Source organism: Homo sapiens, chromosome 2 (genome assembly GCF_000001405.40).
Source record: "Homo sapiens chromosome 2, GRCh38.p14 Primary Assembly".
Lineage (NCBI taxonomy): Eukaryota > Metazoa > Chordata > Mammalia > Primates > Hominidae > Homo > Homo sapiens.
The window spans coordinates 21,259,845-21,286,930 of NC_000002.12; the positions used below are offsets into that span (position 1 = coordinate 21,259,845).

The 27,086-nt window shown below is 46.2% G+C and overlaps 1 long non-coding RNA gene across 1 annotated transcript in view, besides 1 other annotated feature; it reads left to right on the forward strand.

Moving 5' to 3' along the window:
- LOC105374317 (uncharacterized) overlaps nucleotides 1-25,625 on the forward strand; it is a 64,310-nt gene extending 38,685 nt beyond the window's left edge. The window contains exons 2-4 of the long non-coding RNA XR_002959373.2: nucleotides 3,854-6,447; nucleotides 6,546-6,641; nucleotides 24,898-25,625. This is a non-coding gene — a long non-coding RNA (uncharacterized LOC105374317). The remainder of the gene's footprint in view (nucleotides 1-3,853; nucleotides 6,448-6,545; nucleotides 6,642-24,897) is intronic.
- Nucleotides 5,600-5,769: a silencer, noted in NCBI's record as "fragment chr2:21488316-21488485 (GRCh37/hg19 assembly coordinates)". NCBI's record gives its function as "represses an EF-1alpha promoter that drives an FKBP-Casp9 reporter gene in an ReSE screen in phorbol 12-myristate 13-acetate-treated (for megakaryocytic differentiation) K562 erythroleukemia cells {active_cell/tissue: K562(+PMA)}" and the evidence as "EXISTENCE:reporter gene assay evidence [ECO:0000049][PMID:32094911]".
- Nucleotides 25,626-27,086: the final 1,461 nt, after the last annotated feature.

Sequence of the window (27,086 nt, forward strand, 5' to 3'; positions counted from 1 at the left end):
TTTATCTTTGCTCTGGATTAAGGAGTTAACCTCTGGGCTGTCCAGTGGTCAAGGTATCTGCCATGAGGCCAACTCTAAAAGACAGGTATCCCTGGTGAAAACAGGCTGCTCGCTCTCTTGGGCTGCCATTCTCTGGATCTTTTCTGTCCCAGTCCATCTCTCCTCGTCAGTCTGCACTGAGGGTGTCCCATAATTATTTCTTCTTGGTTATCCAGACTACTTTCTGAAAAGGAAATACGAGCAGGGTTTATCTCTTCTAGCACCCTCGGTGACATTGTCCTTTCTTTAGAATGCATTCATTCTTCCTTTTTATCGGGGGTGGGGTGGAGGGGTCCTCGGCAGGTAATTTAAAAGACTAACAAACTTTGGCATAGATCACTTTAAGAGCTAGAGAGCAGGCCTGAATATTAATGAAGCCATCTAGTGATAGAGTTGCTTCCTGATGAAGGAACATATCAAAGAGGTTAGGTCTGTGAGTGTTGCTCTGCAGAGCCCCATCTCTATTATCTAGCTCTTAATTACTTCATTAAAATTCAACAGAGGAGCTGCCCAAATCCAGTAGCGTGCCCAAGGCTTGCTGGGTGATTTCCCTGCCTCTGGCCATATGTGATTTTTAGTTCTTTAGGTCTCCAGAGATAGGAGTCCAGATCTCAGGCAGACAGACCCTGCTGTTACTGGCTGTGCTAGCTTCCTGCACTAAGCGCAGCTGCCTGCCTTTTGTACAATTTCTGTGCAACTGGATTTCTGCGCCCCTCTCCCTGGTGCCTGGACACACTGCCTATCTTGTGTGCTTGGGGAAGGAGCTGGCCTGCAAAAGTGTATATTTCAGATTACAGAAGTCTCCTTTGTTAGACTTGCACATACTTTCTGGATCTCTTTTGAAAAGATGGATTGCTTCCTCCCTGCTTCCTAAAACAGCAGCCAGGACACCATTTTACCTAGGGTATCTCATCCCTGGGCCTCAGTTTTCCCATCTGTAAAATGAAGCCGTTACTCCACGTGGTGCCTCCATAGCTCTAAATTCTCTCGATCTTTAGGAGAACCTATTTTCTTGTAGGGCTATAATATAGTGACACCTTCCAGCATGAAACGGTGCCAATTAGCTCTTATCCTAAACTATTCCTGTTGGCTCCTCCTTCTCAGTGCTGCTCCTTTTAGTGATACCCATTGTCTGTGGACTTAAAATTACTAACTAGCCCTGGGATCAGGAAAAACATCCTAGGCATCTTTATTTTTAAACTTGATTTTAGGTCACAGGGAAGGACATGAAGGTGGTACTACCTCTTCTCTTTTTTTTGAGACGGAGTCTCGCTCTGTCGCCCAGCCTGGAGTGCAGTGGCGCGATCTCGGCTCACTGCGAGCTCCGCCTCCTGGGTTCACGCCATTCTCCTGCCTCAGCCGCCCGAGTAGCTGGGACTACAGGCGCCCGCCACCACGCCCAGCTAATTTTTTGTATTTTTAGTAGAGACGGGGTTTCACCGTGTTAGCCAGGATGGTCTCGATCTCCTGACCTCGTGATCCACCCGCCTCGGCCTCCCAAAGTGCTGGCTACTTCTTCTTTAGAGTACAACCTATGGGCTCTTTGACAGCTGTTTTTAGATTCAGCTGTCAAAGGCTGAATCTAAAAGGCCCTTTTAACGTCTCTGGGTTTGCGTCTGTGCTCCAAGTGGAGCAGATTATTTTAGAATTGCACTGAATCAACAAAAGACAATGCATGTAAATGTGTCTACCACATAGAGGAGGCAACATGTTTGGTGATATAAGTTATAGAAGTTTCATCTGCCTTTTCTGCCTTCCTGTGTCTGTTTTGCTTTTTTCTGATCATTGTATCTGTTAAAGTTCCTTCCGGGAAGAACAGCGGGAGCTGAGTATCTCCTGGGGTTTTGCCACTGGAGCATCCCAGGAGCCACTGAAATGAGAGGGCCCCTGATGCAGACAGGGAGATGACAGAGAGCTTGGCACTGAGCCGTGCAGCAAGCAGGCTCAGGCAGAGAATGTGCAGGCAGGAGCCCCCGACAGGAGGCCAGTAAAGAGCACCGGCTTCTGAAGAAGGAAAATTGAGAAGAGCTTGTGCTGAAGAAGTTGGAACCAGTCATGCTAGTGAGCCGGACTGAGATTTCTGAAAGACAGTAAAAAAAAAAAAAATGCAAGTGTGCACCTTCTTCTGAGTACTTCCAAGGTAACTAGAGCCGCTGTAAAACACTAGTGCTTTTCCTCTGTATCCCCAGTAAAAGGAGAATCCAGCCCTAGTTGCCTTCCTGGGGGAGGAACTTTTGAATGCAGGAGGTGGAGGTGATATTTCAGGACTTAGCATTTGGCAAACAGTTGGCTCCAGAGCCCAACATTGCTTCTGGCCTCAGGAAAATGCTGGATGGAGAGAGTCTCCAGCATTGGCCAGCATGGCATTACTCAGGGAATTTCCTTGTTTCTTTTCTTTTTCTGTTTGGTGGCCAAACTGTTGGAAGAGGATAATCTTCTCATCTTGTTTCTTTCAGTCCCGAATTTATTAATCACTTTAAATGGTTATAACTCCCCCAGTTTTATTTGAACTCTTCAGCTTTCTTTTTAAAAAGTATTTTGCTTCTTTCTCTGGGCTGGCCCTGTGTCTTTTTGTCTCACTCTATTTCTTGCTGTTTGTTTCCATGTCTCATGGCCCAATTCCATTTTGTATCTCTCTGTATTTGCTCATAAAGCTCTGTCTTTAATTGTCTGTCTGTCTTTTTCTTTCCTTTCTCCTGGGTCAGGCAGGAAGTTAAGGCAGACAGACAGCTGGTCCTTTTCTTTATTTGGAATAAAAAATGGCTTTGGTGGCTGATGACAGGCAACTTGGGCTTATATGATCCTGGGAAGCCGCAGCAGCAGGACAAGAGGGGGAGCTTTTCCATCCTGCCTCCAGGTCTCATTTTCACAGGGACATTTCCTACCAGGAAGGAGCCTTGGAGATGAAGCTGGATTTTCCATCCAGAGTCTTCCGAGGCACTTAGTTCTTCTTTGAGGGGTTCAAGTGGTCCAGCTCCAAGTGTGTGTGGTGGGGAGAGGACCACTCCTAGGTTATCAGCCTTGGGCTAGGTCTGGGAGGGATAGAACTGTAAAGGACACCAGCCCTGTTTCTGAGGACATGGAAAGACTTTCTCCTCAATTTGGCATTTAACACCCTTCATGAGTTGGCCTCAGCCTGTCCCCTACTGTTCCCCTCACACCTTGTTCTAGTGTCTGAGTTTCTGGCTGCCTCCATGGTTCTGGTTCTTCCTAATGTGCACTGGTACAAGCTCTGTCCTCTGACACTCTTGTCAACTGCGGCAAACTCCTGTTCATCCACTGGTTCCAACTCAGACGCCACCTCCTCTGTGAAGTCTCTCCCAACTCCAGGGAGAGTTACTTACTCTCTTCTGAGTAGATGTTCTTGCCTTTATTGTCCTCCCATGGTCTTATAATTGTCTACTTAGGTGCCTGTCTTCCCTCTAGACTGTGATCTCTTTGAAGGCAAGCATGATGCCTTATTTATTATATCCTTAATATCTGGCAACTAGTAAGAGGTTAATGCTTGTGGAATAAGAACTAGGAAAAACAATTTTAGGAGTTATATGATCAACACTAAGCTGTGTGCTGAAACTGTGAGTGCTGTCGGACCTTGGAGAAGAAGGGGAGGGGTTAGCATGGGGTTTGAGGGAGACCAATGCCTCCTTCTGCATGTGTACCCCACACTTGCAACAGAAGGTCAGTGGGACAGAAACAGTGGCATCACCCAGTGCTTGCTGGAGTCCAAAGTGCCCGGTTTGGGGAATGGAATTTCTAATGTGTTTCTTTTCCTGTGATCTATCTCCCCTGCCAATGCTGCTCCTTGGAAGACCAGGACCAGAGACCATGCTGGGAAGCCTGGCTGCTCTTTGAGGACTGAGATGAACTTAGCAATGCAGAGAAGAACAAAGAGAGGCTTGTGCTCACCGTGTTCCAGAGGGATCACCGTGTTCCCTTTGTTCATTTGAGGACATGAATACAACTATGGTCTTTGGACAAAAGGCATATGCCAGGCAGTATGAATGGTCTCTCTTGTCTGTGCAATTAGTATGTAAGAGCACGTGAACTGGTGCCTGGGACCTCTACCTGTTTTAGTATGATAGCACCACAGTAAAGGGCCTGGACTTTGTATGAGCTTGGGAAAATCATGTCACCTCTGCAAGTCTTGGTTTCCCTGGGTGTTAAATGTCAATTTAAGTAAAATGCTATCTACTTTGTTTTGGAGACTTTCTATGAGAATCTGATAAACTATAACCTGTGAAAGAGTTTCAAAAGTTGTAAAAGATTGAAGGGTGAGTATACGGTGCATGATCCTTTACAGGGTTCTTGAAAATGCAGTTACTCCAAGGGGCAGTGCTAGCAGAAGCTCATAGCTCATTCTCCTGATTAGAAAACCTTTTTGGGGAAAGGGCTCAGGTTTATTTCTGGTTCTAACATGCTCAGTTTAATGCAACATATTTCAGCTTCTTATGGAATCTCTACCATATGCTAAGCCTGTGCCAGGCAAAAGGGGGTGGTGTGGCATGGAGATTAGTCATAGAGAAGTTCTGTCCCCCAGGATCACCAAAGGACCCATCTTCCTCTGATAGAGCCCTCTGCCGACTTAGTTGATCTTCGCTCTTGGCAAAGCCACATGTACGGTAGCCCAGGTCCTTTTGAAAGGTAGTGTTTGTGGCAAGAATTAAAGCAATAACACCCTACTTTGGAGGTACAAGCTCAAGGTGGTGAGGGTGATGGCAGGAAGAGGCAAGTGAATCAAGGAAAGATGGAAGCAATGCAATGCCACCTGCCCCTCTGCTAGCCAGAGGTTTATGTGAACCTTGCAGTGACACATTAGTTCCTCAACAGGCACAGCCGCTTGGCGTACTGGGCTGCGTGGGAAGGTTGGTGAGGAAAAAACACGCTTTGAAGTAATCCACATTGGGAAGAAAAGAGGATATTTATCTGTCCAATTACTTTCCAGTTCCATTTCTCACTGGTCAAGGTTATATCCAGAGGAAATCATAGCCCCTGGTGGATGCTCAGTAAGCCAGATCCCATGCTCATGATACTGTGCTTCATGCGAGTGGAAAAGTGGGGGAAAGCTTGGCACAAGTGGGCTCCAGCCCACAGAAAGAGAGAAAGAGACAGCCGGGAGCGTCTCAGAAGGCACACAGGTGTTTGGTCCTATTCCCTGACCTTCTCCTACTCCAGGTTAGGAGAGCTTGGAATCCAGTGGAGTGTGGGGGTGAATATGGCTCCACTTCTAAATCCCTTCCTTCATCTCCATCCACTGGAAGCGATTGCATCCTGCTGACAGGTTCCTCAGCTCTGAAGCCTCATCCAAGGGCTTAACAGGAACAGAGTGACTGCCGTGGCTCCACCTCAACCTCTCCTGCAGACCGATCCAGCCTTATCCTTTCCACAATCCCTTACGAGAGGCCTGGATTCTTATTAAGAAACACTATGGATTTTTAGAGTAAAAATGTCTATAGAGAGACTTCAGAAACAGTCTGGGGAGATTATAAAGAAATGTGGGCCAGTTGTCCAAGGAGATTTTATAGAATATTCAATAGCACTCATGTCATAAAAGGCCTGTGGAGGTTTGCATAGCTGAGGCTGGCCCTGAATTATGATTCCCTGATGCAGAGCCCAGCAAAAGCTCACAGCATCCCAGACTAGGGCTTGATGCTGCTGTGCTTGTAAAAATAGAGCCACCTCACCTCACTCAAATGCAGTGGGGATATTAATTTCCAGGGCTGGAGTTCAATTTCATAGAAAGACAGAGTGGAAAATAGAGCTGTCTTTTCAATCCCAGTGGTCATAATAGAACCCCACCCTGCACCTCTCTGGAAACTGTCTCCCAGCCAGCTCCCAGACACACTGAAACGTACCTTGTGCTTTGCTTTCAATGATAACTGGAGCTGGGTAGCCACAGGGACAGCAATTACTGTCCACAGATGAGGAACCTGAGGCATTTGGAGGTTAATCTACTCTCTCACAGGCACAGAGCGAGGCAGAGGATGTGCCAGTTTGAAAGTCCTCCTCCTGAGTGGGAGCAGACGACCACAGTTACATTCCACTTTTATGGAAGAAGGAGAGTTATGAAGGTGCAGGCCTACTGTGTGCTAGGCCCTGCATGAAGTGCTTGACATTCACACTCATTCAGTTTTACAGTGAACCTGACAGGTCAATATTTTCTCCATTTATTAGGAAACTGAGATTCAGTGAGACAAGGACATTTGTTCAAATAAATCTCGTAACTCTGAAGAGGCCTGGATCTGAGAAGAATGGGTGCCAGGTAGTCTGACTGGGCTAGTTTTGCCCCATCATGGCCCTGTGACATCCGTTCTGCCTCCCAGCTAGACTGGACTCCCCCAGACCAGGAACTGTGTCCTGGCTCTTCCTAGCACCCAGCTCAGGGAGGGCTATCAAGGCTGCTGAAAGCAGGTGAGTTGGCAGAATCTGGTGAGTGGGAAGAATTGGACCTATGCTTTTTAAAAATGGGCTTGAAATTTTAACTGAAACTTTCTCTCCTTACCTTAAAGCTCAGTGAATGTCAGTCTCTGAGCAGATGGGAAGAACTGAGGATGAATTTGTCCACTTAAATGGGAATGGAAGCTTAAGAATCAAGATATTTGAAGGTGAGGTCAGGGATCTTGCTTGGTTGTTGAGGTACTGAAGGTCAAATGGAGAGGCCCTGAGATTTTACCATTCTTTTTGTTGTTGTTGTTGTTGTTTTTCGAGACGGAGTCTGGCTCTGTCGCCCAGGCTGGAGTGCAGTGGCGCGATCTCGGCTCACTGCAAGCTCCGCCTCCCGGGTTCATGCCATTCTCCTGCCTCGGCCTCCTGAGTAGCTGGGACTACAGGCGCCTGCCACCATGCCCAGCTAATTTTTTGTATTTTCAGTAGAGACAGGGTTTCACTGTGTTAGCCAGGATGGTGATTTTACCATTCTTAAGGTGGACTCACAGTTGGCTCTCAATCAGCATCTCCTGGGCATATGATGACTTCCTCCCTGGACTCTCACTGTTGATCTACAGTGGCTATGAGCCTAGGCTGGAGCCCAGCAGGAAGGCTGAGCCCCATGCTTAGTGGTGGTGAAGGATTCTCAGCTGATGTGAGGGTCCAAGGTGCTTCAGCAAATGCTGCCCAGGTAGGTGATCTGTGCAGGGCCAGGAGCCAGGTGCTCCTTGCAGAGGCAGTGAGCATCAGAGGTGAAGACTATCCCTGGGGTTGGGGTCATGTGTGGTCCTTGGCTCAGCCCCACCTAGACTTGGAGCGACAGAGCAGAAGAAGAAGGGTGAGACTCCTGCTTCAGTGGAGGAGGAGAGATTCTGGTTTGTACAAATGGCCTGGTCAAGCAGGCCTATTATACACTAAAGACTGGAAACTATACCATATTTATTTCTTCATTTTGAAGGCCTAATGTGCAGGTTCTGTATGTTAATCCTTGTTGAAGAGAGAATAGAGAAATGAAGAAAGACTATAAGAGCAGAGTGAATGACACAGACCGGACCCTAGAGGTCAGAGGAGGGAAGGATTGGGGCTGAGCAGGGTGGGGCTGAGGTTGTTAGGGGAGCTTTGTGTGGAGCAGCAAAGCTGGAGTAGTGGATGCTGTGACGTGTTGCCCAGATCTCCCTTTCAGCACTGAGGCACTCATTTTCCCATCTGCTGGACACATTGTTGGCTGACCGTCCTCAGTTCTCTCCAATATTTGGTCTTATCTTGTCCAAGATCAGGCCCCCTCCCTGAGGACAACCCACATTCAAGGACTCAATGGGGGTGGGAGGGATAAAGGCTACCTCCTCCCCTTGTTTCAGTGCAAGACAGCTCAGAACAGCCAGCCATCTCTAGGGTACCCCATGGGATTTGTGGGCTGGAATGTTCTTAAAAGATAAGATCAATAAACAAAGTGCAAGGAAGAGAGGAGAGTGTCCCACGAGGGAAGAATGGCTTGTGTAAGCGTGCATAGGAGAGCCCTGATTATCTGCCACCCCTGCTGCCTTGATTTGGCTGGCCACCCTTCTGGTCCCTCTCAGTGGCCATCAGCAGTATGAAGTTGCCAAGGCTGTGATGATGTTTAGTCAGAGCAGAGTATTACCTGGGATGAGTTTAACTAGCCTGTGAACACTTCCCACTTTGTGGTGTAGAGGAAAGAACACTGAACAAGGAACTACGAGGCCCACATTCTAATCCTGGCTGTGACACTAACTTGCTCTGTGACTTTGAACCAGTGACTTCATTTCTCTGAGCCTCGTTGCCCTTGTCTCTCAAAAACTAGTCCCCACACAAGGCCTTGCTGAACAACGGCTGCAGGTGGCTTGTCTCCGTGTGCCTGGTGTGTCTTTTCTGCTGGACTGGAATTTTCTCGAGGGGGGAGGCCACGCATCCCATGTAACCAGTTCTTGCTCTGCTCCTTCACCTTTCCTCCGTGAGTGCCTCCTTCCAGTTCTGCTCGGTGAGCACTGGTCCTGAGGTCCCTCCATCAGGGAGTCAGTCCCTGGTCTCCCAGGAGGCACAACTCTGTGCTCCTCAGACTCTGCCGACAGTGTTTGAGTGACACTCTCCTGGCCGTTACCCATTTGGCCCGTGCAGCCTGTGCCTGATGCAACGCATGACATCAGGGCCTGTCATAGTGCCTAGCACACGGGGCGCACAGGAAATCCCAACTCAATTGAGGGAGGTGATAATGAAAAATGTACATGAAAGCACCCCACAACTAAAATGTGCCCTGATTATCTGTTGCCCCTGCTGCCTTGATTTAGCTGACCACCCTCCTGGTCCCTTTCAGTGGCCATCGGTGGTATGAAGTTACCAGGGCTGTGATGATGCCGGTGAACTAATGAGGATGTTATGTGAGTCAGTGCTGGCCATATGACCATGACCCTGGCCTGTGATTACAAGTGGAAGCAGGAGCTTAGGTTTGGCTGTGGTCTGTGATCTTTGTCACTGCGGCCATATGACACTCAAAAAAGATTTCATTAGTGCCTGGAGAAATCTTCCTCCCAGGCCCTTTTCTATCCTAAGAGTGAGTAGTTTTAATTGCATTTGATCACGTTTTGCAATGAAGCCAATGTCATCTTACTGTTTTCTTATCTTCCTGCTACTCTGAGACTGTATTTATGCATGCATCCTGCACCTCGTGGGTGTGAAATGGTTACATGCACGACTCTGTGCGGGGGAGGAGGATGAGGTTTGATGGCATCATGAGGGAAGTGTCACGGCCTCCGTATTTGTGCACAACAGAGAATGTATTTTCAGCTCACGCCCCATCTGCAAGTTACTTTTCTAGGCAAAAAGAGCAGAATTTACCCACCCACTTCTTATTACTGCAGTGTGACCAGAACACAGAGGTAGCTAGAGCAAGCCAGAGCTTTGGATCACAGCAGTTGGCTTTCAAATTTCAGGGAGTGGAAGAAGAACTTGGGAGGTAGGTTAAAATGCAGGTGCCTGAGCCACCTCTTTGGAGATTCTGATTTGGTAGATCTGACTAGAGACTAGGTGATTACATTTTTTTAACACCCTCTTCAGGCCATTTCAGTCCATGGGCCAGCCACACTTTGAGAATCACTGGGTTAGAAAAATGAGTCAAAGTCAGATAGCTGTGGGACCCTGTACACAGAGAGAAAAGCCTTTTTGGGATAATATTTAATTATCAGCTGGTGAATATAAACCTGTAAAGCAAAACAATGATACAACACAGTTGATAAAGCCTTACAGTTAGGGTGGATATATGCCTGTTTTGTCTGGGTTCATGGTTGATGTATTAATAGATCAACCAATAGCTGTTTATTATTTATTTTTTAACCTCTTTTCTTTTTAGAAAGGTGTACGATTGGATAATAAATTATGTAATTACCCTACATAAAGTGAACTTTGAACAAACTTTGTGAAGAAAAGAAACACTATTTCCTGCAAACTTAAGTTCTGAGATGAGTTAATCATCTCCCCAGCGTCCTTGGAATCTGAAGGTTGGAGAACTAAGCACATCAAGTTCGCTGATTTCTCCTCTCTAACGTCCCCAGCTAAGAGATAAACTCAGGAAGGTTAAAAGGCCCCTGATTTCACTGAGGTTTCTGTGGCATAAATGATTCAAAAAGGCCATCGGCATGTTTCCAGAAGTGTAACAATCATATTAAAATTGTGGCTTACTCTTAATAAATTCAAATCTGTTTACATCCAACTTACTACATGTGGCCACAGAAAAGCTCCACTTATTCTAATCTCAACAATTTTCTCTCTTGTTCAACATTCAGATTTTATTTCCACAAACCCAGAACTGCATTCTACATTTGAGGATGTCATTTAAGGCCAAGAAAGTCCAATAAAAAAGCATTTATCAGCAGTAAAGTTTGTTTGAGGATTACCCACTGCGAATAAAGCCAAGCTCCCCTTTTAAACTGAAGCATGCTATTTCAGGAATGTGACCCCTTTCATGAATAAATGACATAGTGACATTTACAGATAAAGCAAGATTTAACTGCTATGAAAGGAGGTGACAAATGTCAGGATGTCAATAATGATCCGTGAACATAATGGTTTCTTGCCTGAGTGTTGAGCAGATACATAATGTAACTGCTGCCTGACAGAGTTCTGCAGAGAATGAGCCCTGAGCTCTGGGAGAAGTCAAGAAGGCTCCCAGTACTATGACAGTCATAAGTCTGGGGTGGCCAGTGTCTGAGGAGGGTCTAAGTACAATCTGGCCAGTACGTTAACTCCTTCTCATTGCTAGCATGTCTGTGTGCCAGGAAAGATGAAGTTTTTCTACCATGTATCATTAAATTTTGTCAGAGTAGAATTTAGACGTTGTGAAAATAGCTTTTTGGTCATGCTTTCATTTTCCAGAAGAACCAAGAAATTAGACAAAAAGTCAGGAGAAAGTCCGTGTTGTCACTATCACAGTGAGGCCAAGGTCATGGTCGGAGCCTGATCAGGTGGTGCAGCATAGATACACCCATTGAGGTCATCTTCCCCTCTGGCTTGAGGCTAGCCAGCTGTCCCAACGCGTGTGTCTGAAGTCACAGAGTGCACTAGTGAGAGAGTGCAGATGGCTCATCTGGACCCAGTCCACACCAACGAGACCTTTTCCTCTGGGCCATGTCTCCTGCCTTGCATTCAGGGCATTCTTCCCTCCAGCTTCTGCACCTCCAGCTTTGAGTCTGCTTTCTGTTTTCTTTGGCTGGCTTTTTCTCTCCCCCTTTAAAATGAGATGTCCTTTGGGAGTGGTAAAAATGTCTAATAACCAGCTTGTGAAGAACCATCCCCAATTAGTTTGCAGTTTTCCGTTATGTAAATACTGCCGTACCCCCACAGCTGATTTTCAGTGACTTTTTCATATGAAGTCACTGAACACTGAGTTGGGAAGAGATACACACAAATGGCCCCAGCTTTGGGATTGCACAGCAACTTTGGGGGTCCTCTTTGCTTTTCCATAGTCACTTCCTGGCTCATTGACCACTCTAGTCCTCCAGATGAACTTATGATTTCCATGCTAGGAAGCCTGAGTGTGCATTTCTGAGCCTGATGTCTCTGCAAATCCAGCCCCATGTACCTAGTTCAGAGGACAGCTTCCTTCACTTTCAATTCTGCAATTTCCCTGCCTGAACCCACTTCAACTCTCAACTCCTAAGGCATGGTCAGCCCTGACCCTTCTCCCTCTGTGACACTTTCTGGGTCTGGCTCATGGTCTCCACACGCATGATAAGCACTCCCTATACCCATCCCTGGGTCTGGACAATGTTTTCTTTTCTTGTAAAGCACTAAAACTCCTGTGTGTTTGGCCAGTATCTCATTCAACAGTGAGAAATGGAAGCAGAGGCTCTGAGGGGCGAATTGACTTGCCTGAGGCCTTATGATGTGTCAGACCCACATTGTGACTAGAACCCAAGTTTCTCAATTTTCAGTGCCCTGGGCTTTTTCCCAGTAGCCTCCTATCTTTCACTACTCCCCAAGTCCCCAACCTAGCTAAAGCCTCTATATCCTCAGCTCCTCCTCCGCCATCCAGGTCCTCTCCCCACTGTGATGCCCTCACCATCCTCCAAGTTCCTGTGGAGTGCTTCACTGGGGGTGGGAGATAGAAGCTGTTGACAACTGCCCTTGTGGGGCCTCTAGTACCCCATCATGGCACATTTTGCTCACCTTTGTTTTTCAGCCTCTCGGTACAAGGGTAATTTTCTTGACAAATACCATGGTCCTGTCCCCTGTGGCTACCAGAAAAGCCATGAACTTTAAGAACAAGAGCAGGTCAGGAGATGGAGCTATTGTAGTCAGCACTGACGAGCCACCAGCCTCCACCAGCAGCAATGAGCAAGGCTCTGGGTGTGGGCCTTGGTTGGGGGGTGTTTTCTCCATATGGGGACGTTTCTCTAAGACAAACAAAGGAACACCATTCCTCCATCTTTCTGTACTGCACAGGTTTGAATTATGTGCTCTGCCTCAAGTGTGAGAAGCCCCGTGCATGGTTGCACTATGAGGTGGAGGGAGAAAGTATAGTGCCAGTGCTGTAGGGCCAGGTGGGTGAGGAGGGACGTGATGGGTCCTCTCTAGCCAGAGGCCTTCCCAGGCCCCTCAGCTGGGCTAGTTCTGTCTGAGCAACAGGAGTCAGGCCAGGCAAGGGAGACGTTTCTATTGCTTGGGAGAGTTAGGGATGAGTTTGTGGCTGAAGGAGGATGGGAGAAGAGCTTTGAAAGATGAGCAGCATTTGTTATGGAAAGGACGAAGAGTTGACCGGACACCTGGGAGAGGAAGACTATGGTTAAGAAGAGGTTCAGGCTGGGCACGGTGGCTCACACCTGTAATCCCAGCCATTTGGGAGGCCCAGGCGGGTGGATCACTTGAGCTCAGGAGTTTGAGACCAGCCTGACCAACCTGGTGAAACGCTGTTTCTACTAAAAATACAAAAATTAGCTGGGCATGGTGGCACATGCCTGTAATCCCAGCTACTCGGGAGGCTGAGGCAGAAGAATCACTTGAATCGCTTGAGTCCGGGAGGCGGAGGCTGCCATGAGCCGATATCGCATCATTGCACCCCAGCCTGGACAACAGAGTGAGACTCCATCTCAAAAAAAAAAAAAAAAAGAAAAACAGAAAAACAGAAGAGGTTCAAAGGAGGAAAGGAACAGGTCTCCCCTCTCAAATCCATCTGCCATCTTCTTGCTGCTGCCAACAGAGTCCAGGCTGGGGAAGCGTATCCCAAGGAGAGAGGACACAGGAACCGTCACTCTTCTCAATCACATGTAAATGACTTCACACCTTTTCCTAAAGGGGGCAGACAGGGATCCTCTGCAGGTCCTCCTGCTCCCTAAGGGAGCTGTACAGTAAGGAGGACCGAGGTCATGAGGTCAGGGTTGCTGGTGAGCACCCCACTGCCACGTGTGCAGTGTGCAGACTGTGCCCTCTGGCCACGAAGTGGCCTCTGACTTGGCCATTCTGAGAGGTCGGCGGCTGCTAAGGGTAGCATGGGTGCAGGCTGGGGGCCCTGCACCTCCTTAGCAGGCTCAGAGGCAATTAGGAGCCTGACTGACATTTTTTTTTTCTCAATACAAACTCACTTCCATCCTGCTTTACTCGTACAAGCTGACAATATTTCAACTCCAGGTAGGAGACTCACGATGCTGTCATAAAGTACATGTGGAGAAGAACTGTGAGGTAAATGCATTTCACTGGAAGTCAATTTTGTCTGGAAGTTTCCTTGTGGTTGGAAGTTTCTTTGAAAACTTGGTGATTATTAAGATGTCAGTGACAGGAAGATATTTGCCGCTGCCTCCCTGCTCCTGGCTGCGTCTGCTCTGACAGTTCTCCTCCTTGAGCCTCTGCACAGAGCAGGGCAGACACTAAAGGGTGGTGGGTGGCAAAGAAAGGTCACTGAGCCTGGGCACTGCGATGCTTGGGGTGCAAAGACCCTGCCAGGTTTTTCTCCCCTTCCACGTGTGGCAGATCCCAGACAAATATGCAGCCAAAAAATGTCACAAACACACGCAGGTGTTCAATGATCTTGGGGTGGCTGTAGAACCTATCTTTGAAGGGGCATTAGTAAGCCCTTTGGTCACACAAAAGCAGGAGAGAAGAACAGGGTGATGAAAGAGGACCTCAAACTGCCCTTCCTGATGATGGAAGGGTTGTCTGCCCTCCCTGTGGCCAGAGCAAAAGCTCTGGGAGGGTTACTTTGAGCTTAACCATTTTTGCTTGGGCTCCCTAGAGTTGTGGATGACAGGATATGAGACTCTGGACCTGTGGAGAAAGGGAGGAGAGAACTCCGGAGAACTGCCCTCTGGGAGTGCCCAGCAGCTTGTTGGGGCATGAGGGTGTATTCCTGAGTGCAGGAGTCAGGGGCGCTGCTGCCTGAAGGGATCTGCTCCCCACCGTGGGATTGCATTGCTGACTGGCACTGGAAGCAGTGTGTTCCGATATTCACCTTGGAGGCCTTCCTTCTCAGCATTGTCTCCTCTTGGTTTATCCTCAGAGGACATGAAGTTCTACATTTCACAGCTAAGTGCCAGGCTTATGTAGGGACTAAAAGGTGAGAGGGTGCCCACATGTTGGGAGAAGCTAAGCAGAAGCATGGGGCACAGGAGGGACCTTACAAATGAGAGGTCGGCAGGGAAGGGCTCCAAGCACTGCTCTGAAACCAGCAGGGAAGAGCTGCCCCTGGGGGACCTGAGCACATGCCTTTCCTGGGCTCACAGCAGTCCTAACAAAGGGGAATCTGTAGTCCTAACAGAGGGGAACCTTCTGGGAGTCATGGTCTTTCTACAGCCACAGAAGAGGTCCTCAATTATTTTTATCTGCATAGAGAAGACTGTGGTGATCCTGGAAGACAGGAAAATTAGGAATACTTGCATTTCCCTACATATCTCTCATTAAGCACTCTATGTATTCACTCATAGACACCTGTTGAACATTACTTTGGGTCAGGCTCTGTCAAGGGTGTGGAGGAGAAAAAGACCGAGTGTCTGTCCTTAATAATCTTCCTCTGGCTATTGCTGGATGATGATGATGATGATGATGACGATGATGGCAACGATGACTATTACAGCAGAGTCTTTCATGACAGGAAGTTCGCAGCCTTTAAGGGGGATGCTGGCTCTGCCCAGAACTGGCGTAGCTCCTGCATGAACTTTGGCTTGGACTGCTGTCCCTGGAGTCAGCTGTCGGCTGTGGCGTCCTTATGAGAAACAATAGGAATCTCAGGAGCAAGGAGAAGCACTCACCCTTATTCTGCTGAAATAATCCTATTCTGAAAACTCCCCAGAGTCAAGAGCAATATGCATCTAAGTTAGAGTTGGAATTTTGAAGATGAAGTCAAGTTTCCGTCCAGGTCATGCATCTTGAAATTTCATGTCTCTCTCTTTATATTCTTTATCCTGTCATCAGGGTGCCTGGTCCACTGGACTGTAGTTTTCTGGAGGACAGAAACTGTCTCCAGGGAGCTGAGCATGGGTCTGAGTACCTGGCACGCCCTATCTCGGCTGAATTGAACACGGGGCACAGCACCTACTTCAGAGGGATTTCCTGTTTTCTGCCAGGCAGCTTGAAATTAGCAGCCATGGGTGGTCATGGTCTCCTTGAGCAGGGGTTTCTGGTTGGCAGCCTCAGCCTTCTCCTCTGTGCCCTTTAATCCCTGCCTTTGGGCCTCCTTGATTCTCCCACCTGGAGACAACAGGGCCCACATTTCCCTCTCTGAATCCTGTGTTCCAGAAGGACTCTGGTGTTAGAGAATGGTCCACCTGCTTCAGCAGCCGGGAGCTGTGTTCTCAGCTTGACTGCTCCAGGGGGAAAAATGATATTTCCTGGCAGTCAAGTTCTCTGCTGTAGCCTGTGCCTCTGAAAGATTTATTATTTGGTCAGGCTGCTCCAAACCTTCACTCTGCTGGGTATCTTCCTGATGGAGCTCCCTGGGGCCAGTGCCCAGAGGGAGTCCTGGGGCCACTGCTGCACAGAATGTGAGCCAGAGTAGTGGGCATCACTGATTTTCCTGATCCAACTATGGCCTGGAAAGGCTGCGGGAGACAGAGGCTCTCCATCTCAGAGCTTTGTCCATTGAAATGCTAGTGTTCTGATGATCCAGACAGCATGGGAAGAGTTAGGACCAACTGGAGTTTTACTGGATGTGTCAATGAAAGTAAATGTGGCATGTATTTAGAAGAAGTGTGCACGCATGTGTGAGCGTGTGTGCCTGTGTCTGTGTGTAGATCTGTGCAAGTATGGGTCTGTATGAAAACACCCCCAAAGATTAGTATTTTAATATGTAAATCTGGAAGAAAACACTGAGCTACAGCTTTAGTTGAAATATTTTCTTAACTACTGTACTGTAATGAGGAAAGTACTTGACAAAAGAATAAAACATGAAGTCCAGTTTCCTTTTGACAGGTCCATCGCCGCACCCCAAAGTCTGCTTCCCATCCTGTCTCACTGCCCTGGGCACCCACGTTCACACGTGCTGAGCCACAGGCAGATGGGGCGTGGCTGGCTCCTCGGGGCCCGCGCAGGCCCAGGGGGCAGCAGCTGTGCCTTTGCTCCGCTCCACTTAGCTCTACAATTAGGAGAACTGCTCTCCGTGACTTTTAAACTTTGAGGGTGAAGGGCATGATGCCAATTTTCGGGTGTGGCATTTCTGTGAATGAGCAGGAGACAGTTGGGGAGCTATAAACGTGCATATTACGAAGCAGCATGGAGCAGCCGGGTCTCAAAGGCTGATGTTTTTCTCATATCCCACGGTTTTATGGCTCCATACCTTTAAATATTCATTTCCATTGCTCTACACGAGGACATAAAGTCAGACTGTGCTCTCACAAGTCCTGGTAGGTGCCCATCTCTGCAGTCCTTACAGTGGCTTCCTTAGGAGAGCTGGGCAGAGTCTTATCATCCCCCAACTCTGCAGAAAGAGGGACAACTCCAAGCCGAAAGAGCTGGCCTGGCAGCCCCTCGGAGGGTGACACAATCGAGTCAGCCTGCCAGTGTCCTCTGCTAAGGGTCACCTCTACATACTCTTCTCCTTATTCTTCTGCTATCAGACCTGGTTAATGCATTCTATGTATACGTCTGTGGGTAACTCATAAGGGAAGAATTAGACACCCCTCTATGTTTACAAACCCAGTTCTTGCCACAGCTTCTGAAATATCCTGGATGTTCAACTACTATTTGTTGAACTAATGAATGATTCTCCTTTTTGGTGACTTATATGTTCTTCAGTGACTGGAGCTTTCACATATACACAATATCAGGTTGTGAATAAAATATGCAATGGGAAGACACAGGAAGCTACACTGTCAGGTGAAGTTACCAAGTTATTTGTTCACTTCTTCACTCACTTCCAGTCCCCAGAGCCTGGCTTTCTTCCTCGACATGAGGCCTGCAGCTTAGAGGTTAACAGAGGCCAGACCAGTCACAGGCTCCTGAGCTTCAGCTGCAGTTAAGGATTCTGTTCAAGCGTGTGGTCCTCTGCTAGCCGAAACTCTTTGGCTGAAGAGAATGCCTTGGCTGCAGCAATTGCTTGTAATTTATAACAGACGGGCACAAGCAGAATGCTCCCATTTCTTCGAACTTGGACATATTATAAAATAGCTGATCAGGCTGCATTGTTTTAGGTCTATACACAGCCACTGTTCCTGGACAGTTATAGAGTTATCAGGAAATCTGCTCCTGGCGGGGAGGACCCTGGACAAACATTGAACTCAACCATTTTATGACTGTGTGTTTGATTTTCTTAGAATGACACCCTTGCACACTTCATCTAAGGCCAAACTAGTGAAAGGTAGCCATTGAATGAGAAAGGAGGCTCAGATTCAGAGTCATAAAATGTTGAAATGTGTTGTTATACTATATAATGATAGAACACCTGTCTGCCCCAGCATTTCATAGACATTTACAATCTCCTGCATATATTGTATTTCTTTAAAAGACCTGGATACACCACACTGAATGAACAAATTGTCCCCACCCTTGTGCTGCTGGTTTGATTATAAGAATGTTAATGACATGGGGTAGCGGCAGGAATGTGACCAACAGGCCCCATGTACTGGTATTTCTCATGAAGCATGAAGCTACAGCCGCCAAACCCACACCTGGCTCCTCAACCTCACGTTACCTTGCAACCTATGACTTAAAGGGATCACTTCTCCTTCCACATACTTCTATGCAGCTTTGTGTTGTCAGTGTTGCCACTGACACCAACTGTATGACCAGAACTCCTAAATCACAGGTTACAAAACTCTTCCCCATCCACCAGTGACCTTGAGCTTCACACCACTCCTGTGAGGTAGATCAGGTGCCTATTGCCCTCTATTTTTACAGATCTAAGAAATAAGACTCAGCGAGATGAAGTGACTTAGAACCATCTCATTGATTGGAGAGTGGGCTGACACCAGAACTCAGGACTTCTGAATTCTAATCCCATGCTGTCTACACTGCCACCCTAGGGTACATGCTGCCACCCTAATCCAAGAAGTGTCTTTCGGAAAAGGAAGGTCAGGTTCTCCCTACAAGTGCTTGACTTTAACAAGTTCTTTCGGTGATCATCTTCAGAGTGTCTTCAGCCAACACTGGTTTTAACCCTGAGCGCTCTCATTTCCAGCCTCTCCCCTCCATTTCTGAGTGCTGACCTGATGCCATTCCAGAACTGCAAATGAAGCTATTCCTGATGCCTCCTTCTGCTTTCTGCCTTTCTATGTATTCTTTAAGAAGACTCGAAGTATGTGGGCCTGGGTGACGAGAGAGTGTGGGTTGTTCTTGCTGGCCCCTCCTTGGAGAGAGATTATAGGACAGAGCATAGGTGAGCGCAGCTATGCAAGTTGCACAGCAGGGACTTAATAAGGTTAGTTACATTACAACTTCAGAATCAGAACAGTGATCTAAGGTGGAGAATGGGCTAAATGGTGAGTTAAGGACATTTGCCTTTGGGGTCTCCTCTTTCTTCTGGCAATTCTTCCAACACCTCTTTTCATCTTCAGAGGATTTGTGCTTTTCCAAACATGTTCTCAGAAAAGGCATGAAATTCACCCATTCCGTTTTAAAGACTGGTGCTTTAAGGCAGACTTGAAGGATGGGGAGAAGTACAGCCCAGAGGAAGGGAGAAAGCTCTGGGGACAGGATTTCTGACATTGGCCAGCACATGGACCAAGGATCAAGAGAGGAGAATGGATTTTTTTTTATTATATTTTATTTTTTTATTTTTTGGGATGGAGTCGCGCTCTATCACCCAGGCCGGAGTGCAGTGGTGCAATCTCGGCTCACTGCAACCTTGGCCTCTAAGGTTCAAGCGATTCTCCTGCCTCAGCCTCCCAAGTAGCTGGGATTATAGGCATGTGCCACCATGCCTAACTAATTTTTGTATTTTTAGTAGAGGTGGGGTTTCACCATGTTGACCAAGCTGGTCTGAAACTCCTGAGCTCAGGTGATCCACCTGCCTTGGCCTCTCAAAGTGCTAGGATTACAGGCGTGAGCCACCATGCCTGGACAGGAACGGATCTTTAGATGGCCACCTCAGGGTCAGCTGCCCAGGGGATGCTGCTCTGGGAGGGGTGAATAAATTTATCCTGCCAAGGCTGGGGGTCTGGCACTTGGAAAAGATTTAAGACGCTGCAGCATTGCACCGGTAAGCTGTGCTTTCCACTCAGTTCTGGGTATATCACAATTCCTTTCCTTCCAGACTCAACTGAATTAATTAGGAAAGGGAAAGAGCCCCAGTGACTTGTGCTCTGACAAGCCCTTGGTCTCTTTGAGCTCTGGTGACAGGCAGCCAGACTTCAAGGCCCCCATGCCCTCCTCCTTTTACCCTGCCTGTCAAGAGAAGCTGCTGAGGAGTGGTGCTGGGGCTGGAGGGAGGGCGGCCAGGGAGCAGGTCTCCCTGACATTTGTCCTTCCCTCACTGCCGACAGCCAACTCCAGATCAGCTCTGTACCCTGCTGCCACAGCCCCCGGACCTCTCACACCAGGGAGACAGCTCGCCTCTAAATTTAGCAGGAAGAGGGGAAGGGGAGGTCAGTGTGTCCAGGGTGAGGGCTGAAGGTGGAAATGGAATAAAAGAGACAGTGGACAAGCGGGGGCCATGAGAGAGAGGGGAGAGAGGGGAGGGATTTCTAGTTAGAAGTAGCTGTGACAGATTGAGAGAGGAGAGTATTTTAAAGAGTTTGTAAAATGTAGAGTGTGACTCTTTCACTGTTAGTACCAGGGAGCATTACTAATGTGTCCTAATGGAACAGTCAGTTTGCATTTGTGAGGAGGTTGAATTAGAGCTCTCTTTTAATGCAGCAGGAGCCTGTTTGAGCAACTGAAGCTACTGTAACTGGAAGAGGACCAAGGGCATTGCCATTTCTGTCCAGTAGAAAGCAAGGCGGTAGACGGGGTGCTTATTAAACACGTACTATACGTCCTGACTGGAATTGGCATGTTCTCTTACTTAGCTCACTTAATCCTTACAACAGTTTGGTGGGATAGCTTTCAGGATGATTTTCTTTTTTTGAATTATGGATTAAGCTGAGGCTTGATTTGTAGACTTTAAGTGACAAGTCTAGGATTCGGCTAGATCTGTCTGATCTTAAACCCGTGCACTTTCCACTCCTGTAATAAATGAATATGAATACCCTGAAATCCTCCTACCAGAATGCGAGTCTATGGTTCTAACCTCTTCCTTCAAAAAAAGTCACACTTCTTATATTCCTTTTAATGGACATGACAATGATTTGTCTTTTTAATTCCCTGGCAATTTTTGTTCCATACTTTCTTGACTTCGGAAACCATTCCGTCTTGAAGGGAGCTCAGATGAGTTTCAGAAAGTTTTGGTCACCAGGACAGAGCCGAAATGTTGGATCGAAGCCCCTGTGAGCTGGTCAGAGCTATGATGGCTGATGTCTTCGATTACCAAGGCAGGCCTACATGCGTTTTCTCAAAAGGGCACCTTTGGGAGGGAGAAGCATTTGGATGGAAACATGTCCCTAACCAGATAGGAGCACCACGTCCAGCAAGGAAACAACAGCAACATGGAAACAACCTTTGAATTCTCCAATTCTCCAAGGAAGCTTTTTTTTTTTCCATTAAAAACCCAGCTAAATGACAACATTGAGATTATTCTGCAGTATATTTATTTGTGATTGTGCTATTACCACCTGTTGCTAGGCAACCAAGAGTTTAAGCAGTTATCAGTGAGAGGTTAACGTTCCCAGGTCCTACCTCTGGCTCTGCTGGCATTGACCTGGGACTTGGTGCTTGGCAAGAGATGTTCATCTCCCCTAGGCTTCATTCCAGAAATGTGCCTAGGAGATGATAGGCACGTCCACACATGTTTCCCTTGACCAAACAGGCAGATGAACGAATGAAGGAAGGAATATCTTTAAAGGAGCTTACTTTTTTTGAGATAACCTCCCAATGAATTCTGGAAGTAGTTTTTTAAAGTGGAGCAGGCCTCTGAAAGGCATGTGAGTGTGAGTGAGCGTGTGCGTGTGTGTTTGTGAGTGTGAGTGTGTGTGTGTGTATGTACTGTCATATGCTGCATAATACTGTTTTGGTCAATCAGAAATCATCTATATGATGGTTGTCCCATAAGATTATAATACCACATTTGTACTGTGCATTTTCTATGTAGGTATGTTTAGATACACCAATACTTACCATTGTGTTACAACTGCCTATGGTATGCAGTGGTCACATGCTGTACTGGTTTGTTGCATAGGACCAATAGACTACACCATACAGCCTAGGTGTATAGTAGGCTACACCATGTGACTTTGTGTAAGTATACTCTGTGATGCTTGCATAGCAATGAAATTACATAATGATGCATTTCTTGGAACATATCCTTGTAGTTAAGTAGGCATGACTGTATGTGTGTGTATGTGTTTGTTATGTATATGTGCATATGTATGATGCATGTGTGTACATGTGTGCATGTGTGTATGTATATGTGTGTGTGTGTGTGTGTGTGTGTGTGTGTGCTCCTGTGTGTTTGGAGGAGGAGAGACAGGGGAAAGATGAGGTCATGAGCAGTGGAGAAAGGGAAGGTTGGAGGGCTTTGGGGCTCTGTTGACTACGTATGCTGCCATGCATGTCACCCTGCAGGTCTAGAGCCTGGTCCCTCCGTCCCAGTATCATGCTTTTTCTGCATGTTATGATCACTGTTGTTGCCTCCAGTGCCCAGGGCTGACTGGAAAGGTGAGTTGTCTGCTCTCTGTCTGGCCTGGCCAGGCTGGCTTCTCCCGCCTCGCCTGGTAGATGGGGGTGCTGACCTCCAGAGTGCCGGGAGCATAGGATTCCCTGCTCTGAGCACAGATGCAACCAAGTGAGCAGTGCAGGCCTGTTTGTTGTACAGAAAATGACTGCTGCATTATGAAACACAGTTCATTTCTAGCTAACGTGTATTGTTTCCCCTGCAGCTCTTTTTATGTTAAAGCCTGTCTCTCCCAGTGTTATCTGATGGTTTCCTAGGAGATGCCCTCCCCGGCCAAGCTCTCGCTGATGCTGGAGTTGGATATTATCTATAAGCACTAAATATCTGCTTTGTTCACTCAGTGCTGCTGCTTTGCTCTTTTTCCCTAGGCTGGTGGCTAGTTTCTTGCCAGCATCCCTCATGGCTGTGCAGAGATTGGGAAAGGCTATATCTGCCTTCCCACATCTTCCACAGCTATGGAGATGGGCTCCCAGTCCTCTCTGATGGATTTTACTTACTAGTAATTTCACATTTCAAGCTAATATTAAGACCTTTTTAGTCACTGGTGGATTTTTGAAATAGAGACAAATTTGAGACACAGCAACATTGCCAGTATTCGCATGATGAACAGAGACCCCTTTCTCAGAAGGATAAGTTAAGTAATTTTTTTCTCTTTATACCTCAGCTTCTGTATCTGTAAAATGGAGCCTCTGCAGTAATATCACCATGAACAGTTGCTGCAAACTTCAAGTAGGAGCTTTACTTCCTCTTTCTTATTCTTCTTTGACAGAAAGGTCCAAATATAGCTCCAGGCTGGCTTTTCACAATGTGATGAGAAGACGGCATTCCTGAAGTTTGAGGGAGGCTGCTGTCACCATGGGAAGGGGGTTTGACAACTTGGGCAGTAGCCACACAAAGATACAATTCCTAATCTGTCAAAATTGCTTTTTCTTAGAAGCTCTGATTATATTAACACATTCTCTATCTGATCTGATGGTGTCTCTTTGAAATTTTCTCCTTACAACTGTAATCAAAATCAATCCAATTATATTTAAAAAGTAGGCATATATATTACTTCTGGAACTAAATTTAAAGGTAAATCACATATATCATGGTTTAGCCATAGATATCTGAAATGAGAAGTGGTGGAAGAGGACAAGTAGGAATTAAAAAAAACAAGAACTGTTAGAAGATACTGCGGTATCAAGTCTCTAAGTATAAAATCACAGTTCAACTGTTCTCCTTTATGGTACAAGAAGAAGATATAAAAGAAAGATAATAGACCATTATTTAAGGGAAGTAAATAATCCCAAGAGACTGGATAAGTTAGTATTTATGCCAAAGAAAACTTTCCCCCTGTCTCTTCTTTTCCCCAACCCTCAGCCCTGTCTCAGCTGGAGATCCGTGGAGGGACAGTGTGTTTTATTGAGTTAATGGCAGAGTCTCCTGAAAATGGAATGAGCACAAGTGCTTAACACATAACAGAGGCTGTGCCTACACTGCAGCTGTTTGCAAATAGAATTATGCCACCTCTGCTCTGACAACTTCATGTGTCCGTCCCGTAGCCATTGATCTTTGTCTCTGGATGGACCAACTCTGTGGACAAAGTTTAAGATGACAGAGTAGAACATCATGAGTAGCAAGCTGAGCCCAATTCTCATGCCCCAGACTCAACTTCACAAGGTGCTACCATGACACGTCACCCAGGCCATCCTCAAATTTCTAGAACCTTCTAGCCATTGAGAAAGACCTGAAACTGGGGCCTTGGGAGTACCATTCAAAGAGGTGGCATTCAAACGTGTTAGATTGAGACTCTAAGTAAGAAATATATTTGATAGTGACATCTAGTACACATATACATATATAGATGTACATGCATGTCTATAAAAATGAAACATTTCATAAAACAATCACCTCACTATGTAGGATGTACTAGGATATTTTTTATTCTATTCCATTTCATTCCATTACAGATAATTAATTATCACTCTGTAATTAATTTCACTACTCTGACACAAATCTAGAACCAGGGTTGGGGTAGACAAGAGACTCCTTTGGACAAGTCTTCCAGATTGTCTTCTACCTGCAGACCTGAAAGGGACTCATGGAGCCTCTTGTAGCAGCCCCTACCATATTTGAATGACATCTGATAAATATTTTAAACAATAAAACAAAACAGGGCATTTAAAAATTGTTATGGATTGTCATTTTGCTTCAGTGTAATATGAATAAAATACAAGTTATTTTGAACTGAACTTTAATACTATAATTATTAATTTGGTTAGAAGTCAGTTGTTGTCTTTAAATTTATTTTGGAAGATGGATAGAAGTAACAGATATCAGCCAGGCACAGTAGCTCACGCCTGTAATCCCAGCGCTTTGGGAGGCTGAGGCAGGCGGATCACGAGGTCAGGAGTTTGAGACCAGCCTGGCCAACATGGTGAAACCCCGTCTCTACTAAAAATACCAAAAATTAGTCGGGCGTGGTGGCAGGTGCCTGTAATCCCAACTACCTGGGAGGCTGAGGCAGGAGAATCGCTTGAACCCAGGAGATGGAGGTTGTGGTGAGCTGAGATCGTGCCACTGCACTCCAGCCTGGAGACAGAGCAAGATTCTGTCTCAAAAAAAAAAAAAAAAAAAGAAGTAACATGTATCAATATTTATTGAAGCCTTGTATGTGCCCACTATATTACACATGTTATCTTATTTAATCCTCAGGTTCACCCTAAAAGAAATATATTATTTTCATTATTTTACAGATAAGGGAAACTGAGGTACAGAGGAGGGGAAGAGCCATGATTGACTTCATGCAACTCATCAGGGAGGGCACCCAGATTTACACGTGGATCTGTGTCACTACAAAGCAGTGCCCTTGACTTAACACTCCATCACTTTCCATACAAGCTTCAAACTGAACTCCACCTTCATTAGCTTGGTGAGCGCAGACCGCTGAACTCTTCTAACATCTGTCTTAGAGGTTATGTGTTGGCTGCTGCGTTCAGAGCTATCCTAAAAGTAACTGAAACAAGGGATTTTTGACTCCATGGCTAAACAGTTTCTGGGGAGCAGACCTTGATTCTACCATTACTTAGAAAACAAATCAAATTAGAGTCAGACTAGTGATGTTGTCAGAACTTTTCAAACATAAAGACCCATGAATGGACATGTACACTTGGGATCAAAAGCACTCTCCTCTTCCAAACAGCAGTCTACACTTGGCCTTTTGAGAGGCTGAGCTATTGCCAAGGACTATTTAGATGGAAGATTTGATTGTTGGTCAAGGAGACACTGAAGAAGAGATAAGATGGTGTACTGGAATGGAAGGAAGGCTCTGGACATCAGAACTTTGGGCCACTGTACTGCTGTGTAAATTTGCGAAACCTACTTAATCCTTATGGACTGTTTCCTCATCTGGAAAATGAGTTAAATGAGATCCATTTTATAAAATTGTTGTAATGATTATATAAGTAAACACATAGTAATATTATTTGATTTTATTATTATTATTATGACTTGTCACTCAAAGCATTTAGCTTTGGTGTCTCTAATATTCAGTACTCACATTTATGTTCAAATTTGGATGCTAGGTAGAAATGAAGACTTTGTATCTGCCACCAGAGAAGGCTATTTATTATTTGTCATTGCCTGTCACGAACTCACAAAGATAGTATTTGCCTATCCAAAGGTATCTAATTCCTCAGTTTCTTATGTGACTATAAAGGGGCCTACTTTGATCTTACCATGAACTCAAATCCTTTCGAAATTTCAATTTGTCAGTTTTGATATTTGCTTCTCTCTCTTTTCTACTCCTCTTATCCAGGAAAGGAGGCACATTGTAGTTTTTGACTTAATAATGGGACCTATATTAATAGTAAAGAAAGTTCAGAAGCCAAGAGAAAACCTGTGAAATGATAAAAAAAGGTAGATGGATATATTTTTTTAAAATGTTCTGCCAAACACCTTTGAATTGGCACCATTGGGAATACCTTTCAACATGTAGGTTTAAGAAAACATTTAGCTTTATAAAGCCGCAGAGAAAATCTTGTGATAAAATTAGTCAGAGTTGAGTAGAAATGGATTAAAGAAGGAACCAAAGAATTTAACTCATCAGCGAGAGGGGATAAAACCAGGTCCTCGACCTGGAATTCCCACAGGGTCAGGGCTCTCCCCAGTGTTTTTTCACTGCTGGTTCCACAGATGACAGAGGGGATGGGTGGAGAGATATGTTATCCTAGACTGGTCACTTGTGCAAGCAGACCACAATTGGGAGGAGGTCCACTAGTATTTGAGGAAAACTATTTAGAAGTGGGCATCTTCTAAATAGTTGGGAATTATTGAAAAGCATTAGCCCATTAGTTGTGAGATAGATGGAAGATCATGAATCAGAGCGATATTAGAGTTTTCCTTTATCTGGAGCTGGATAGCCCTAAAATAGCCAGGGAGGTGGTGTAGATGGCCACAGTGGATAGTGCACTGTGAGGCTTCCTGCTGGCTGTAGTTGTCCAAGGAAGATGGACCCATTATGGGCATGGGCTTCTCAAAAGGCTTGTCATGGTCAAAATGCTTCTGAGTTATTGGAAAAACAATGGTGTTCAAGGGCTGGGCCATCATTTGGATCTTTCCTTGAGGTCACTAACCCTGTAATGAAGAAGCACCTTGTCACTGGACACAATGCTGGTTCCTGGCTGCTGGGGATGTTCTAACTCTGGTGGAGAGCTAACAACAACATGAGTCACCTTACACTTACCTGCTGTGCCTTTCGCTTAAGACTGTTTCTGTCACCGGGTGTCATGGACAGCAGTTGGCTCCTAATGTGACAGGCTGGCTTCAGGGAACCAACTCTCCATTACTCTGTGCTACAGAATACATGCAGACCCAAGGAAGATGCTTGTCTGCCTGTCTGGTCCATCCAGGGCCATGACCTTCAAATACACTCTAACCCCTGAGC